The 19170-nt window shown below is 40.3% G+C and overlaps 2 long non-coding RNA genes across 4 annotated transcripts in view, besides 1 other annotated feature; one reads left to right on the top strand and one right to left on the bottom strand.

The window, feature by feature from the left end:
• LOC105374524 (uncharacterized) overlaps window positions 1-19170 on the bottom strand; it is a 507306-nt gene that overhangs the window by 130291 nt on the left and 357845 nt on the right. Inside the window, exon 17 of the long non-coding RNA XR_007058437.1 lies at window positions 12547-12666. This is a non-coding gene — a long non-coding RNA (uncharacterized LOC105374524). The remainder of the gene's footprint in view (window positions 1-12546; window positions 12667-19170) is intronic.
• LOC105374523 (uncharacterized) overlaps window positions 1-19170 on the top strand; it is a 97876-nt gene that overhangs the window by 25862 nt on the left and 52844 nt on the right. The window lies entirely within an intron of this gene.
• Window positions 1087-1381: a silencer, noted in NCBI's record as "tiled region #1330; HepG2 Repressive non-DNase unmatched - State 24:Quies, and K562 Repressive non-DNase unmatched - State 7:EnhWF". NCBI's record gives its function as "represses a minimal TATA promoter and a strong SV40 promoter by Sharpr-MPRA in HepG2 and K562 cells {active_cell/tissue: HepG2 | K562}" and the evidence as "EXISTENCE:reporter gene assay evidence [ECO:0000049][PMID:27701403]".

Below are 19170 nucleotides of genomic sequence, written 5' to 3'. Positions count from 1 at the left end.
CCACGTGTACCTGGGTGTCACTGAATTCTTTGATTTGTCAGCTCACATTCCTAATCTTTAAGGTCACGGTGCCCTGCTCTTGGCACATCTTAGATTGGTAAAAGGAAACATTCACATGCCAAAGTTCAGACAGCATGACTGGGAAAATCATCCCTCTTACCCAGAGGGACTGTGTCCCTGGAAAAGTACTGAATTATGCACAACTATTAAAAACTCTCTTTGAATTGCCCAACATGAATCTCATTCAATGTTCACAAGTCTCTGCGGTAGGCATGGGTAGGGTCATCCTCACTGTACAGATGAGACTCAGAAAGGTAAAATCAAGGTCATGATTACATAGCTCAATGTCAATAGAACTAGGATTTAATTTCATACTGATCTAATTCAACAGCTCTTATTTTCCTGCTGAAAATGCTTTCTTGCAAGGAAGCTCTCCCCTATGAAGTATTTCTGAATACTCTTCTCTGTCTCCTTCCCAGATCCTATTGAGCACATTCTCCTTTAAGCCCTGCATATGCTGGGGCTGTAATAGACAGAACACTTTACCAAATGCCTCTGTTTACAAGCACACCTTCCTATCTGAACTCTTAAGTTACAGAGAGCACAGTTTATACTTTATTCATCTTTGTTTTCCATGTTCCTAGTGTAGTACATGGATTATAATTGTTGCTTGATAAATATTTATTACACGAATGGATGGGTGAATAAAAGCAGAGGGAAAACATCCATTTTGTATCGGTAACCATAAAATATTCACTTAGCATTCCCCAACGGCACACTACTCACAGGCTGACACTGCCCCTTAAACCAGAATGAACTCACTGTGGCCCACTTCAGAAAAAATAACTATGCTCTCCTAGATCATTACTCATAAACTCCAATGTCTCAAAACACTCCATTGCAGCTGGCATGCCTGGCAACTATCTGTGGCCCTTCACAGTACTGCACACATGGCCATTTCATTACTGACAAGGGGGCTGTGGAGCCACACAACCACAGCTTTGTGTGAAGGATGAAGTGGCAACTCGTGCTGCTGAGAGGTCCTCCCCTATCAAGAAGGGGCGGGACTTGTTGATAAGGAACCCTGACTATAGTCACTGACAGGGTGAGTCAAGGAACTTTTCAAAGCATGTGAGTCACTTACCTGCATTCAGTGGTGCCTGGGCTCTGGGGATTGGCATGGAACCAGCAATGTATGCTATGGCCATTCAGGAGATTAAAAGCTGCAGCCATGGTGATTACATGGAATTAAAAACAAATGCAGAAGTGGCCATGGAATCTGATTGCATTCCACTTGGTGTAAGCCAGTTTGCAATTTTTTCTTTCTTTTTTTTTCTTTTCTTTTTCTTTCTTTTTTTGAGACAGAGTGTTAGAGTCTTGCTTTGTCACACAGGCTGGAGTGCAGCAGTGTGATCTTGGCTCACCACAACCTCCACCTCCTGGGTTCAAGTGATTCTCCTGCCTCAGCCTCCCAAGTAGCTAGTATTACCAGATTACAGGCTAGCGTCACCATGCCCGGCTAATTTCTGTATTTTTAGTAGAGATGGGGTTTCCCCATGTTGGCCAGGCTGGTTTCAAATTCCTGATCTCAGGTGATCCGCCTGCCTCAGCCTCCCAAAGTGCTGGGATTACAGGCGTGAGCCACCATGCCCGGCCCAGTTTGTAATCTTGAGGGCAAGAAAAAAAAAATATATATATATATATATTTTTTATTCCTTTTTTTAAAGGAGATGGCAATTTGGGGGAAATAGTTCAAGAGCTTTGGATTCTGGAAGTATGGAGTCTAATGTTGACTTTCTCTCTCATTAGTTGTTGACTTTGGGAAAGTTTCTTTGACACTCAGATTTCTCTTCTGCAAAATGAATATTATAAGCCCTTCCCCTAAGTCTGCTAGAAAGGATTAAATAAGATGATATGTATGAAGTATCTGCTGCATTATAGGAACTCAGTGCATCTTGGATTTTATGCTTTATTTCTTTCTTTTTTTTTTTTTTCTTTTTTATTTTTTATTTTTATTGATCATTCTTGGGTGTTTCTCGCAGAGGGGGATTTGGCAGGGTCATAGGACAATAGTGGAGGGAAGGTCAGCAGATAAACAAGTGAACAAAGGTCTCTGGTTTTCCTAGGCAGAGGACCCTGCGGCCTTCCGCAGTGTTTGTGTCCCTGGGTACTTAAGATTAGGGAGTGGTGATGACTCTTAACCAGCATGCTGCCTTCAAGCATCTGTTTAACAAAGCACATCTTGCACCGCCCTTAATCCATTTAACCCTGAGTGGACACAGCACATGTTTCAGAGAGCACAGGGTTGGGGATAAGGTCACAGATCAACAGGATCCCAAGGCAGAAGAATTTTTCTTAGTACAGAACAAAATGAAAAGTCTCCCATGTCTACTTCTATCCACACAGACCCGGCAACCATCCGATTTGCTTTATTTCTTTCTTATCTACCACTTATTTCTTTGTGCTCTCCTCATCCCCTTGTCTCAGCAGAGACATCCTTGGGGTTCTAACAGGGGAGGCCTGGAGGCCATTCTGAAAGAAAAGGCAGAAGCCAAGGAAAAATAAGTATTTATCAGTTAGGCACCTGAACTTTACCTTCAAGGACAGGTATTCCATAGTCAGGAGAAAGAAATCCATTGGGGATCTGGGCCATCTAAAACACCTTGTAAACGAAGGAGGTTTATGCTGGGAGGAAGGCATTCCTTTCAAAGTGTTCCCGCATCCTTAAAGCACCACAATGGAGAAGAGCAACTGATTTGCACTCTCCTGAGCAAGGCTGAGACATCAGCATTGACCTCACTACACATGTGGGAAGGGCTTTGATGACTTGAGAATCGCGTCATAAGCAATTCTTTCCGGAGTGGTCCTGGGCCATAAAAAATTTGTGCATTGCTAATGGAGCAGACAGTTCCATTTCTAATTTTTTCTGGGTGTACTCCCTCTGGGACACAGAGAGGTTGGTGAAATAGTCTTTGATGTGGGGAAGTTGACCATTTGTGATGGAGGAGGGGAATGGGATCTTGTTGCTTTTAGGTAAATAAGCATTAGAGACCTTTTTGTCAGTAACTGTTGTATTCCAGAGCTAGACTCTGGCCCACGCAAAGGCACAGATGACTGGGTCTTTGCATATATATTAGTAACTCCATTGGAAGATAATATTTTGCATTTTAAACTAAACATTTCTTTGCATGGATATTGACTGTCTCTAAAACCCTGAAATAAAACAGTGTGTTATACTTCTTGGAGTTCCTCATTCACTAGAATGGACTTTGATCCTTTGAGTCACTATTAAGTTGGCTAAGGTAGATAACCCCATTTTACAGATGAGATCAATAAGGCTCAGAGAGAATATTCTGTGTCTAAGATACTGCAGCTGGTGAGCAGCAGCATCAATACCAGAACCACCGCCATCACCTACCTCCCCAAAGTCCGAGGTTGAACAGGATTTGTGGTACCCAGAGATTAAATATTCCTGAAAGATAATTAAAAAATATTCTTCTTTGTAAGTTTTATAAAATACGTGACTGAATGAACACATTTCTAGGGCCCCCTCTCAGGACCATGAGTGGGGCCTATGCAAGTGAGGGCCCTGAAGTGTAAGCTTTATAGCTTCATAGTAAATCACTTCTGCTTCCTTAAAGGAGCATGCTAGCAAGAGACCTGCTCTATGCACAGAGCACATGCTCAATAACTAGTAGTCATTGTGATTAGTCTTTTTGCCTTATGTCTTTTTGACAGGGACCTAGAGATAAATGTTTCAAGGTGTGAGCAGTGGGTGATCTGGATATATCACGCAGGAGCTCACTGTTGTCTTCAGTACACTGCTACCCACCTCCCACTCACTATGCAACCCTCCTCCCTTCTCTGGGGCTGCCATCCTTTTCCAGAGCCTACTCTGTTTGGACAATTTCCCAGGCTCCATGACTTGCTTTACACAATTGAACATAGCTGTTCTTCTCACACCTCATAGCCTGATTCAACCAAGGGCCTACCCACCGCAGCCCTTGCTTCATTCTTTGCTATGTTCTTTCATTTTTAGAAATTGGCATTGTTTAGAAATTTGCATTGTTTTATCATCTCATTCCCAGAACTCACAACTCCTTTTTCTTCTGGCTATCTTTTTACAGCACTCAACAATGACTTTGTCATTTTTGGAGCCCTGTGGAAGCCTTGTAAGTGTCCATCTGCTTTTTCCATGCAGAGTCCAGGCCTCATTCCTCATTTGAAGCTCACGTGGTAAAACCTGGGCTCTGTTGGAGTCAGCTGAGTGCAGAGGGCCAGGAGTCAATGAGATGCCAGGACACTTGAGGTCTAAGCTTGGTCTGCTCCTGTCTTCTTACTTGATTTTGTAATGATAAGCTTCCCTGTTTGTATCCTGGAGGCAATAGACTCACAGTGCATCAGGTTAGGAAGAAACTTTAAGCAGTGGCTTCCATTTAGACTACATTAAAAAAAAAAAGAAGGTGCATTTTTAAAAATGTAGATTCCCAGACTCAGTCACAGACCTTGTGAATTATAGGAAGGAACAGACAGTAACTACGATGCCTCCTAAAACATCAATGGCCAAAAAAGTAGATGTCAGTTCCAATATTCCACAGATAAGTCAGGATTTCGGGGACTATTTCCACTCTTCCCTTTTGTGCAGAGGGAAATTATCAACACTTTGAGAAAGAAGAGAGGGTTTCGAATCCCCTTTTCATCTAAATCTCAGATAATGATCCAGCTGCATTTGAACTTTAATCTGTCGGCCATGTGCAGCTCTAATAGGCACCTTTGGGGCCCCACTGGCCAAGGAACCTAAAAAGCTGCCTCTTTGCTGAGCTTCCATTGGTGTTGGCAGTCAGGTTCCCAGGAACAGCAAGCCTCCCAGTAGCAGAGCTGGTCTTTGAAATGCCATGGGCAGTGTCCTTGCATAGATTGGGGCACAAGAGAGGGAGGGATCTGTGTGGCGCCTACTCTGAAATGCCAGGGCAGAGCCTGTGAAAGATCCAGTGGGGTGTCAGATTCCCAAGGCCCCAGCTGGCAGGATGCAGTAGGAAAATCAGATTCCTGTGAGTCCTTAGAGGTCATGGGAGGGCACGTGACTGCTCCTGGTGGGAGGCAGGTGGCTCAGGACGGAGACAGGAAGGGAATGAATAAGAAAAAGGGAAGGACAATGTGACCAGAATAAATTTACTCTAGTTATTATTTTTCCAGTTTGGCAATCCTAGATGATGTGTGTCTTTGTGAGAACTACACAGAAAAGTGGCCTTTAATTTCAGCAACCATAATCATACACCAAGTGACAACACACACCCACACATACACACACATCCCTTGTGTAAATGACTCAGCCATCAGTTCACAAATATTACCAAAGATAGCAGTAGCACAGCTAAGAATTGCATGTGTACATAAATTTATACACACTCATACTCACTCACGTGCTTGCAGCACACTGCCTTAGCAGAACTTCACATTCTAACCATTTTTAACCTTTTATTAGAGCAAGAACTCTAGTTCATTCATATTTACACTTTCGTAAGCAGAGTACCTGGCATCCCATAATAAATATTTGTAAGATAAATTAATAGATGTGGCAGAACTGTTGAGTATACTACTTCTTAGTATTAAAAAGTGGATATGGTATATACACGTCAAACGTCACATACATGATGGATTGTAGCAAGATAGAAAGGCTCTATATATTTTAAATGGAAAACACTAGGCATCTACATTTGAGAGTTTTTAGCTAACGGCAAGTGAACTTAGTAAAATCCATGCAATGCATTAACTCCAGGACAGATACATAAAAGATAAAAAAAATTGGAAGTCATCTGTGTTAAATAGAATAACAATAATCACATTGTATTATTATTGGTTGCATAAAACGCTGTCTTTTCTACCAAACAATGAGTTGCTTGAAGGTAGTGAACCTGCATTCCTTATGCCTGTAGCTTTGGTGCCTAGCACTGTGTCAGACCGTAAAGGATCGTTATGTACTTACTTGTTGAAGTGCACACAAATGTAAATATTGACACAAACCTATTTGAAGTGCATGCTTACTACTACATCACATATGTACCTTTTCCAATTGACCTTGCAAATGAAATGCTTTGCAATTGAAGGGGAATAGAATCTGTACAGAGGTTTTTCCAGTGTTTATTTTTACAATGAACATCTACTAGGCCCCAAGGCTAAGGCTATTGACCTGTAACACGCATACAGATATGGCAAAGCAACTGGTCACTTGGTCAGTGAGCTGAAAGGCTAGAAACATCTAGTCCTCAATGGGACACTGCCATCTGGTGTATGCCCCAGGTTAGACAACCAATAGCCAGATATAGCTAGGGTCAGGAAAGGTGGGGAGGCGGAGCTAGCTCTTGAGTGCAGGCATACTTCTGTGGCCCCAGTGATGATCCGTAGAGAAGAATGATTGCCTACTTGGTTGGCATCTTGGAACTAAAAGTGTGTATTAATTATTCATAGATATGATGGAGACAATGCAATTCGGGAAGGAAAAAAATCCTTAGTGTCTGGTATGGGTTGAGTATTTCACACTGGTTATCTCACTTAATCTTCAGTGTCACCCAGTAAAATGTTCATATCACAGGTGGGAAAATGGAGGACCAGAGAAGTTAAGTAACATGCCTGAAGTCACACAGGTACTGAGTGGCAGAGATAATAATCAAACCACTGCTTTTTTTCTTCCCTGTAACTTGCTAACTGTATGACTTTTTTTGTTTCAATAAATAGCCTCTTAAGAAGAAAGACTGTCTTCTCCTTATCCAAGTGTGGTTTTAAGTAGAGTTAAACAGTTATTATGATCAGTAGTTTACTGCAATAGAGAGGTATAACCAGAGTTTCTGATTTCTAATAATTTACAGCCTTGGTGGAAAAAGAATCACATATTAAAGTGAGTTAACATTTTAAAACTAGTGCAACATCAAGGCTGAAAATATTATTATACAAATAATACAAAGTGAATATTTACCATTGATCTGTTAAGAAATGGAAACATTCCAGTGTCCTGCTGAGCCATAATGGAACCTGAGGCAAAGGAAATATCAGTGATACTAACCCTGTCTTGATTTAAAATTTTGGTATTTTGTTCATTAAGTAGTTTTGCATTAATTTAGATTTTAAATATCATCTTAAAGTGTTATTTATCTTGATTACTGAGCTTTTTGGAGGCCCCTTAAATTTTTTGCTTAGAAAGTGTGTCTCACTAGTCCTGTTCCTGAGGAATTCATCATTGAAAGGATAGCATCCATCTAGAAAAATCTCAGTTGGGCACAATGACTGTCAAAGAGATTTTGGCTTGCTTACTATCAGCATAATTTATTTTCTCATGTGAGAAAAAATATTTATGTTGTTATAACAAATCAATTAATAAGACATTGATAGAAAATAATGATATAAATCCTATACACATTGGGTTTATAAATGTGTCCTATATGAATAACAGCTGCTTTAGATATATTCAAAGTTAATCAGAAAATTAGATTAGCTATTAGATGTAACATCTCAATTTCAAAGCACAATGCATATGTGTTAGGGCTGTTAATCACAGAATTATGAATACTTTTTATGATGCGACCTCAAGAGATTTTTTGTGTGTGTACATAGTGTTAGTGCAGAATTCTTTTGCATTTAATTTTCAAATTAAACCATAAATATCACAAGGGAAATAATGTTTTCTACCAACATGCTGCAAATTTAGAACAACTAAATTATTAGCCTGTAAGTTTTCACTAACAACAGTTTGATAATGATGGAAAGGTTCCCTTATGTAGGACAAAGTTCTCTCTAATGGGAAATGTTTGGGGTTCCTTTCATGCAACAGTAAGTCAAGAACATCCTTAAGTCATGATTCATCTCAAATAGGACTATACAGAATCTCAGAAACACATTTAAAATGTTTCAAAACAATAAAATATCCCCAGAAAAATTACCTATTGATGTTTTGAGATTTTGCCCAGAGGGCACGAATCATAAAATGGAAGAGACACCATCAAGCTTTTGTTTATTAAGTTAAGGTTTCATCCTACTCAGCTCAAGTTATATTAATTGTATTTCAACCCATAGCAAGCAGAAAGTAAGAAGGTTGTGTCACGGTAAGTAATTCACTCCCAGTCCCTAATGCAATGTCTCAATCTAGATCATTCTTGTGAGAAGATTTAGTTGAAACTTCCATCCTGCACCTCCTGGTAAGAATATCATTTAATGTTTCACTAGCTAAGCAGAGCATTTGGAAGACTTAATGAAGAAAACTCTCAGAAGAACTCAAAGAAGACTTGAGGGAGGGCCCTGTTTTCATATTAATCTTGAGCTAAGTCTGAGTCTGGGTAAAGTTGTACAAATTCCTTTGTAATTTATCTGACAGGAAAGATTTCAGTCAGACAATGTACTTACAACCGATAAACCAGCTTCTCCCCAGCCATAAAGCATGCTAATTGGAAAGTTGTGTGCAGAATTCCTGCCAAAAAGCAGGGAATCTTCTTAAATATTAATGATGCCCTCCTGCCAAACTTTTGAATGTTGTTGTGAATCTGGTGGCTTACAATTTTATGTCACTTCATCATATCTTTGATCTTGCTTTCAGTGCACCCTGAAAAGTGTCACTGTGCTGTGGTGGGCTATAAGACATGACATAAAAGTTTGTACATGTGAAGGGGGCTGGTGTCTATGCAAGTGGACTCATCCCATAATGGTAACATGAATGACAAGATGGAGACAGATATTGATGAACGAGTTTAGGAGTAAAATGAAACTCAACAAGAAATTTAAATATTTCTAAACTCAATGAATGTGGCTGCCTTTGGTAGAAAATGTAGAAAAGAATGGGAATGATGGTATTGGGTAATAATTTAAAAATTATAACAGCAGATTATGAGGTAAAAAAAGAAGGAAATCTCCCAACTTTGTTGAGAAGTTTTTTCAAGGGAAGAACAGCATTGGCTGTAAGATACAGCTGACTTTGATCACATAAGCAGTGTGCTGGGAGGCTGAAGTACTCCGAACTCAGTTTTAAGCAGCTTGACAGAATTAATACTATTTCTCCAGATGCCTAATTTAGTCTACAGAAGTGATCTCCACCTCCAGTCTCTACCAGAAGTTGATTTGGAGACTGGCAGGCACATACCCTTGGCAACTGAGACCATCAGCAACAAGAAAAGAGTCTTCAACTTTCCCCTCTGCCCAGTAAGGGGTCAGAACCTTGCCACATCATTTTGGGACGATTGCCAACTTTTGGTTTTGGACAACCCATCTAAATGCCTTAACAGAACTATCTGTTACTTCACAGCTTAGGGCCTCTCTAGTCAGCCAACGTGGTCAGACAGACACTTGAGGAGTATGGGTTGTTATGCCAAAGTCATTTTTGCCCTTTGTTCTCAGATACTTGTGAGAGTGATCACCAGCTCAGTGCATTGAATAAATAGTTGTAAAGAGGGTTTCCATAGATGGGAACTTGAAGTTCTTGTGAAGGCATTCCGGAGAAGAAATTTCCACGTGGAATAATGGTATAAGAAAAGGTATAATAAATTACCACCTTGATATAGCATTTTATAGTTTAATACAATGGTGAAGAGGACAGGCATTGGAGTTAGACTAAATGAGGTTCTTGAGTTATGTTAACACCTATGAAAATCAATTGCTAAAATTCAGTTTTCATAATTTCTCAAGGGCTCCATCACTTACTAGCTGTGTGGTCATGGGGCAAATGTTCTAATCTCTCCAGTGGTACTGGAGGATACTAATAATGCCTATGAAATAGGGTTCATTTCATGATTTAAAAAAGGTGCTATGTTCAATATAAGATGTGTAAATCTAATTTTTTATTATTGCTCCTTGCAAGGAAATAATCAATGACAGATTATAACTTTATTTTATATCTTAGGAAGACCTTCACATCAACTCTTTACAGCCAGGGATGGAGTTTTATGAAGATGGTTTAGGCAAACGTGTTAAGTTAGCTGGGCTATTTAAGATACCCTGAGATTTAAAAAACAAACAGCAACAACAACAAAAACAAAAACCATGTAAACAAAAATAAAAAACAACCAAAAACAAAAACATGTAAACGATTCATAATGTCCATTTGTAAGAAACACTTTATGTCCCAGCTATCAAAGCATAGATAATATATGAGTCATCTAACCAAGGTGTGAAACAAGCTTGAGAGTACAGTTAAGTTTTCCTTATGCCACTTGTAGTATAGTGTTGTAGTGAAGTGCGGAATGATAGTGTCACGTAAATCTAATTTGCACCCTGGTTTGACTGTTCACTGGCTGGATGACCTTGGGAAAAAAAAATTAACTTTTCTAATCCCCATCTAAAAAATGAGAATATATGTTTCTCACTTCACGGAGTTGAGAAAAGTTTGTGAGACAATCCTTATAAAATGCTCAACATTGAGCCTGCCATACAGTACAAGTGCAATAAGTATTAACTGCCATTATTATATTCAGAAGAATAAAAGAGGAGAGGAAGCAAATCAAATCATTATTTAGTACCAACTTTTTGTAGGACACTCTGTGAGGATCCTTTTCTTTTTTTTTAATACATATGATGCCTAAGTGAGCACTTCTGCCAAGACCTTTATGTGTATGATCCTTTTTATCCTCCCACCTTCTCTGCAAAATCGGCAGTGATCTCATCTTTACCAAATGGGCAATCTGAGGCTCAAGTAAGTTATAGAATAGAATAGGTAAGACCTCGATTTTTCATGTGTTGCTTTTAAAAAACATAATGAGTGCCTACTGTTTTCCAGGCACTGTTCTAAGTACTGTGGAAACCCCCATTCCCTGTGTTCATAGAGATGACTCTGAAACAAGTGAATAGGGAGTTGAATTTGGATCAGTACTGAGGAGCTAAAGGAGGTGGGACACAGATCATGGGAACCTGGTAGACCACTGCGAAGATCTTGTCTTTGACCCTCAAGTACAGGGTCTTTGTACTCGCTTTAATGGTCTGTTAGTCTTTTCTACATCTTTTTTTAAAGTATCATTTTATTGGCTTTAATATTAAAATCCTATCTCAGGGCCTATAACCAAAATCCTCAAGAGGGCCACAGCAGGCAGGAACAGTGTAAGAAAGAAGCCCTGGTGTGTGTTCCTGGACAGGCAACAGTGTGGCGGTGGGTGGGCTTCCACCCTGACAGTTGTCTCAAGACATCTCACAGTCTCCTCTGCCACCTAGGTATCCAGTGATGTGGACAGTGGCCAGGATCACCCGGAGGTAAGGTAGAGGTTGAATAGACTTCACCTTGATTCTCCGACTAACATGATTTCCCTTTTCACGAGTGTCTTTTATTGACTGTCAATATTGTTTCTGCAAACTTAGACCCCTCTGTGCCTGGTGCACCTAGGTGCCTCATGGTGTCATTGCCTTCACCAAACCTAGGATTAGCATCTCCTGTGGACACTCAGAGTGAAAAATTAATAAAGCATGTTCAACAGAGAAACAGGGAATGCTTGGATAAATGAATCTTTAAATAAATGCATCCTCCTTATTATGAATCAAAACTTACCTGCCCTGTGCAATTTCCTTTAGTGGACAGACTATTCAGATGTGCCAGTTTATTCAACAGTGTCTATAAGAAACAGTGTCCCAAAGACACAACTCTTAATATACTGACTTTATATGTGATACATATTCTTAGAGGCATTCTAAAGCAAAATGCTAAAACCCAGAAGGATGATGATATTCAGGGTGGAAATTATAGGCATCATGGAAGGCTGATCAAAGAAATGGATTTTTCTGAAATAAGACATAAATATATCTTTAAGTCAGTTTTGGAATTTGACCATAAAATTCCTCCTAATAGGTGCTTTCAAAATGTTCTTTTACTGAGACAAGAGTATCTCCCATATTCCCCAAGTCTCTAAAGTGAGACTATCTTGAACATGAAATTGATATCTTGTCATTTGATCCATCTTAGTTTCCAATTCAGAGCACTCCAGAGTAATCGTATTAAAAATTAATGAAAAGGACAATCAAGTTGGCACACAAAGTGAGAGTTTTGGGGATACATACAGACACATCCATGTTCTCAAGGCTTCCTCTCCACAAGGGAAGAAAAGGCTACTTGAAGGATTGTCTGCTTATCTGTGGCAAGGTAGTGCTGTTCATTGGGCTTTATAAATTAAACATAAGTGCAGAAACAGAGCCTAAAATACGTGTGTATATTCCACACGCACACACACCATGTGCACACTGCAGACTGTGTTCACAGCCATGAAAATAATTAATTTGTCAATGTGAGTAAATGACTTTCACTACACCCTCTTGGTGCCTTGTTTCCTCAGGCATCTGAACATCCCTTCCCCTTTGGAAAACACTTCGCATTAATCCAACACCCCTCATGAAGCATGGTGAATGTTCCTTTCAACATAGGAAAACTAAAGCTAGTATTATCTGTGCATGCCAATGGGTAGACCTCCTTGCTGAAGAGGTTTTCCCTGCTGCATATGGAAGGTGCTTAACTTGTGTCCAGTTGCCAAGAGATGATGATCATGCACTGTACATAAAAGCATAAGTAATTTTATGGAGCGTGAAACTCACTGTGGGTCTCTGGAGATATTAACTGAACTTTTCCATCTTCTAGACTTGACATTTCCATGAACTCAGGGACAATGTAGCTTCCTTCTCCAACATAAGCATTGAGTCCTCCATCTGTTGTGACTGCAGAAAATAAGTATAATCTATGAAATTGTCACGGGATCCTTGGGGTGTTGCTTTGGATCCTCTGTGCCCAGAAACCTCTGTGGCCACTGGCACCTTCTGCCTGAGTACTGCTTGTGCCCGCTGGGCTCATCCCACCCACGCAGCCTAGCAGGCTGCACTCAGTTCACACTACTGGCCTGGATCCCTCATCTGCCAAGGGCAAGCCAGGCATGGAGCAGCAAGGGGTGTGTGGGCAAGCAAGTGCAGGGTTTCACCACTGTGCACAGCCAGGCACGCCAGTTGTTGCAGCGGGGTGGGCAGCTACAGGCACCGGTACAGGTGCCAGCTCTGTGCAAGGCTACTGCTGAACCAGATGTACGACACATAGCTTCTGCTGCAGGCACCTGCGTCTGCACAAGGGGAACGTGGTGATGCCCAGAAGCTTGGAGAAACCAGGAACTGCAGAGCCCAAGTGAGGGTGTCACAGCCCTGGCTCTGGGAACCCCTAGGTCTAGGCTCCCCAAAAGGTCACAGCTCTTCTCTCCTTCTCGTCACCCACAACATGGCAAATGAGGGTGCATGTTTCAGCCCTGTTTGTGTCACAATTCTCAGTCCCACCATTCAGCAGGTCCCAAGTTCTTGTCCTTCGTCCTAGAATAATTAAGTATGTGGACAACTACAGGGTGAGGAAAGTAGAGAGGAGCTTCATTAAGTGACAGAACAGCTCTCAGGAGACCTGCAGTGGGTAGCCGTTTTCCACAGGCAGGTCGTCCCCACAAGCGTCCAGCTCTCAGTGAAGAGGAGAACTGATGTGTGTAGCTCCTTCCTGGAGCTGGTAGTGCTGATGTCTGTTGGAGTCTGGCTGAGTCCAGGGGTTTTTTTGGCTCAAAAGAGAGGAAGTGTGTGCTGATTGGTCCATGGGCAGCCATGGGTGGGCCCAGAAAAATCACCATAAGTTCTCACTTCGATCTGGGGACTCCACCTGGAACTGACAGCCCAAACCCCATGCTTCAGGCCTTCCCTGACTTGAATTCTGGGCTTCACCAGGGACTTGCCCCTTTCTGCCCAGGAGCCTGTCTGCCTCCTGCCATCATCTACACATGTAATCCACTGTGCCCAGGCTGTTTATGCCAAGGGGAACCTGCAGGCCTGCACTGAACTGCCCTCAGCACCCCCTCAACCTTCCCATGCTCCTCAGTGCCCAAAGTCTGGAGGAAGCCAAGGTGGCAGGGAGCTGGTGTGTTAGTGACACCTCAAGCATGTGCATACCTGGCCAGGTGGCAATAGCTCCCAGGTTTGGCCTCATCTTTGCTCCAAAATTCAATCAGGTGCTGGGAGCAGTGAGAGGCTGGGCAGTGGCAGTAGGTACTTCTGAGCCTGTGGGGGCAGTGGGGTAAGTGTTTTCTGGGGCCCCGAGAGCACAGGGATGCCCCCATCTGCAGCTGTGGCTGGGTGGCTGCAGCTGCACTCAGGGGAGGTGCTTTTTCCGGGCCCTCCCATGGCTGCCCATGGACCAATCAGCATGCACTTCCTTCCTTTTAGGCCATAAAAACCCCCCACCCAGCCAGACTTGGACAGACTAGGGACTACCAGCTGCAACTTGGAAGGAGGCAGGAATCCCACCTCTTCCCACCTCCTGCTGGCTCTGTGAAGCACTGAGCCCCAGCAGTACTTCTTCCACTGCAGCCAACATCTTCACAGTGGCCACTCTAGATGGGCCACCTCTGCCATCAAAATTTTCTCTTAAAGGTCACTGAGAAATAAACAATAGCATAACAGAGAGTGAATGTGATTTCCACAACTCTCTCTGTAGATAGAAACTTAAAATTCTTATAAAGGCATTCTTTCATAGGGTACGGATATAGATATGCAACAGATGTGGAATACCTCTGTCTATATATAGATATATATTTATACCTACAGTTTAGATACATAGACATGTACATACACACATATGTATACCTCATTTTTAAGTTAAATCTTAGACATTTAAAACAGTTTTTATGCAATGTGAAATTTATCTTTCCAAGGATCTTAGAAGTATTGCCAATGATCTGGGCATTAGCAGAAATTCTGGTGTGCATCTTGAATAGGCCTGTTACCCCAGCTGAGCCTCAGTTTTTATATAAGTAAAAAATAGGAACAACTACTTTCACCCTGTCTTCCAAATCAGATTATGGGATAAAACCACTAATGTGAACATACTTGGAAACATGAAGCACATTTCAGATCCTAAACAGGGGTTGGAGGATTAGAAATTTAAGAATGTAAATGTCTATAGCATATTTGCATAAGCTTCAATTTAGTAGTATCTTTAAAGGGAAATGTGTTCATCTCTACTCATAATTCTTAAAATTACTTTAAATTCTGCAGCTTGGTATTTGGTGCATTATACATGAGGTAGAACTAGTTTCACAGCTGGACTTTATAGCATGGGAGTACTTAGAATATTTTTGTGGATAATGTAGTCCTCTTGAAGGTTTTTTCTAAATTTTTGAAAAAAAAAGAAAAAAAAAGATGTTCAAAGCATGATTTTCTATTCCCAACAAGTCCTAAGATGGTTTAGGACATATTTCAAGAAATGTCAAATTTCTTATATTCTTTTTTCACATTCACAATGAAACCTTCACAGATTAAAACTCCAGTTCACACTTAAGCTAAATTGAGAAATCCAGAGTACAATCTTGAGGAATGATGAAAGAAGACAATCTAGTTCCTCCTTCAGAAGAAGGTGCTGAAACATTTGGAAAAGTTGGAAATATTTATGTAAGTAGACCCTGGTTCAGCAATAACAACACACAATTCACAACCCAGTGATAGTGAGGAGGTTAGCTCCAGGGTAATAACGCTGCCACATTTCATGGGAAAAGGACTTTGCCTCCCATGCAGTTCTCTGAAAGATCTGTTGGTAGGTGATATCATTTCTAGTTTTTAAATAAGGAAATCAAGACTCAAGCAATTATGTGACTACCATGCTATATATTAATATTAATCTATAACCATCCTTTCTCCAGAAATAATTTAAGATAAAAAACATACGCATATCCATGTTCCCATCACTTTACAACTGAAATATAAGAGCTACTTGCTAGTCAGTGTTTCTGTGTTGTTTTTTTTTCCACTCTCAGGGTCAGCAAACTCTTTCTTAAACTGCCAGATAGTAAATTATTTCAGGTTTGCAGGAAATACCATCTCTGTTGTAACTGCTCAATTCTGCCACTGTTGCATGAAAGCAGCTGTAGATAATACATAAGCAAATGGACATGTCTATTATCCAGCAAAATTTCTCTTACAAAAACAGTCAGCAAGCTAGATTTGGACTGTAGTTTACTGACTCTTGATTTAAAGAATCTTGTAAATGTCATGAATTCTTTCCTTTCAATTCAAAGTTCACTTCAAATTTGCTCTGAGCAAACTTAATCAATAATCAGCCCAATATGCCAGGAAACCCCACAGCCTCACATCATTTATAAACATGTTGTGTGATGGTGTGTGTGTATTATGTAGCTTATAATGGGCTTTACAAAATATTTTAGAGTTTATTCTCTTTCTCTTTTTAGGTTGCATACTCTTGAAAGACAAAGGGCCTGTCCTCTCATTCCTATTGGGATTGCTTATATCATCAATCCATTGTGCTGATGAATGTTTAATAAATGTGGTTGAATAGTGAAAGGGTATAAAGGAGTTCAAATTTGTTGTAAATTTAAGTAACTGAATATAAAACTTGTGAAGAAAGAATAACAGAATTTCATTCTCAGAAATAGGAAAAAAATAAAAATACATGTGCGACTGTTGAGATTTCCTTAAAACCCCTAGATTTGGGCAGGGGGTTCACAAATGTTGTTTTATTTTGGAAAGAATAGTTCTTTTCCCAATAATAATAGTACTGTGCCCGTGCACTGCCTCCTTCAAGGAACACCATTCACACAGCATTCTATGTAAAACCCTGATGAGTGGACAACTGCTGGTCAATTTGCTGTTCTGTTCTAGGTTGTTTCTCAGTTGGGGGATTGTTTATGGCTTTCATTAAATGCCAATACAATACACTATGCTGAATCCTATAAATAAAAATTGTACTTGTTCCAGTTTACCAATAGCTATTGGTGTCTGTCAATTTGATTCAACTTCAACATGAATAACTTTATTGTCATGACAAAGTAAACATGAGCTCAAGAGTTGCCAAAGCCAGTAAGTCAGCACTTGGGTCTGGAGATAGTCTCTGTGCTGTCTTTCTCACTATTTAAAATGAAGGACAGACCAACTGCCACATGGTAGGAAAAGCTCTGTTTGCCTTGTATAAAAACAACCAAACAAGACTGATGCTGTCTTTCAGGCCAGCAGAGAGAAATGTCCTCATTTATTAGGCTTGCTTTCACGGGCCAATCAGCAAAGAATTTTGTTTCCAATGCCAACTATATGAGATAGAAGTAGGAATAATAGCTTTACTCTACACTTAAAAGTTATAAATATTCTTGTGGTTGGATATTTGTCATTCTATAGTCCAGAGGTTGGGAAATTGTTTTCTTAAAGGACCAGGTAACAAATATAGTAGACTTGCAGATCATAACAGTTTGTATTGCAACTAGTCACCTCTGCCTTCGTACTGATAAGCACCCATGGATGATACTTAAAGAATAGACAGAACCGTGTTCCAAAATATATTTACTTACAAAAAAATGCAGATGACTAGCAAACTGTAGTTTGTCAATGCTGGATGTAAACCTTTGTTCCATATGTTGGTTCAGGCACTTTACATTTATTTTATTTTATTTATTTTACTTTAATTTCATTTATTTATTTTTGAGACAGAGCCTTGCTCTGTCACCCAGGCTGGAGTGCAGTGGCGCCATCTCGGCTCACTGCAAGCTCCGCCTTCCGGGTTCACTTCATTCTCCTGCCTCAGCCTCCCGAGGAGCTGGGACTACAGGTGCCCGCCACCACGCCTGGCTAATTTTTTGTATTTTTAATAGAGACGGGGTTTTACCGTGTTAGCCAGGATGGTCTCGATCTCCTGACCTCGAGATCCGCCCGCCTCAGCCTCCTAAAATGCTGGGATTACAGGCATGAGCCACCGCGCCCGGCCACATTTATTTGTTTTTACTGCCTGAATTACGTTGTAGACTCCCGTAGGACTTGACGTTGACTTTGGTAACATGGATGGCACTTGCAGTTACTTGGTTAATGTCCAGATGGTTTGTGCCTGTTATGTTAGTGTCTACCACAGTCTCTGGTACAAAGTAAGTGCACCACAAGTATTTGTTACAAAATGAGTTACCTGGGATATACTAGTGATACAGGACATATCACTCAAGATTAAAAGGGTGCCCTAAGATGTCAAGAATATATAATGTATCTGTTTTTACTTTTCTCAGTCAGAAACAAAACATCTTTAGAATTAATAGAATTGCATGATTTTCCTACTGTCTTTGTTTTGCACTCCCTCAGGAATTTAGCAATGAGTTGTGAAAAATAAGTAGATAATAGCAGCTGATCTAAAGATAAATTTAAAAGGACCTACAGCTCAATACCAGTGGTCTGTACAACAGTTTATTTTTTCATACCAAGGCTTAATTCAAATCTTTATTTGAAAGCTGAGCCATTGACAAATCTTATCGGGCTAATTTTCAAAACAGACATCTTCTTGCTATTTCTAGTGTCCTCATCTTGATCCATGGGCCTTGGTCTATTCCCCCAGCTTTTCTCACTTGAATTATAGTATCTTAAATGGTCTCTCTGCTTCTTTTTTGCCCTCTTCCCTGGTCTTGAGCCTTTAAAATATAAGTTAATTTGTTACTTTTTCTTTAAAACACACCTTCCTGTCTCACTCATAATAATAGTCTTTTTAATGATGTGAAGAGGCCTATATTATATGATGTTCTCCTCTGTTAGCTCTGTAACCCCATTCTCTACTTCTCTCCCCTTTCTCACTCTACTCCAGCCACATTCATCTTAGTGTTCTGCAAGAATACTGGGTATACTCCTGCCTTAGCATCTTTGCAAATTCTGTTCCCTCTGCCTGGCATGCTTGTCCAAAAGTTACCCATATGACTTGTCTTCTTAACTACTTCACATGTTGATTAAAATTTTACATTTTTGTAAAGCTTTTTCCAAGCAGCCTATATATAATTGCAATCACTCTATGCCGGACTATTTCTTCCCACCTTTGTTGCTTTGATATTTTTCCATCACATGCATATTCATGACATACTAAATACGCATCAGAATGTAAGGTTTATGAAGATAGAGAAATGTTATTCACTCCTATATCCTCAGTCCCTGGAACATTTCTTTATACATGGCAAGCTTTAATCGTGTGTAAGGAATTGAATGAATTAAATATGTTAGTCATTATCACTGTTCACCAAATATTTATTTCTCTCTTCCTTCCAGGCACATGGTAAGAGTTAAGCATGGTCACATGACTTGCTTTCACCCAGGGAATATGAGCAGAAGTGGTATATGTCACTTCCTGGCAGAATCCCCAACATTCAGTGTGTAGTTTATGCATTTCACCAAATTCCA

Source organism: Homo sapiens, chromosome 4 (genome assembly GCF_000001405.40).
Source record: "Homo sapiens chromosome 4, GRCh38.p14 Primary Assembly".
Taxonomy (NCBI): Eukaryota; Metazoa; Chordata; class Mammalia; order Primates; family Hominidae; genus Homo; species Homo sapiens.
Note: the sequence above shows the minus strand (reverse complement) of the source record. Positions and strands in the feature narration are given on the sequence as shown.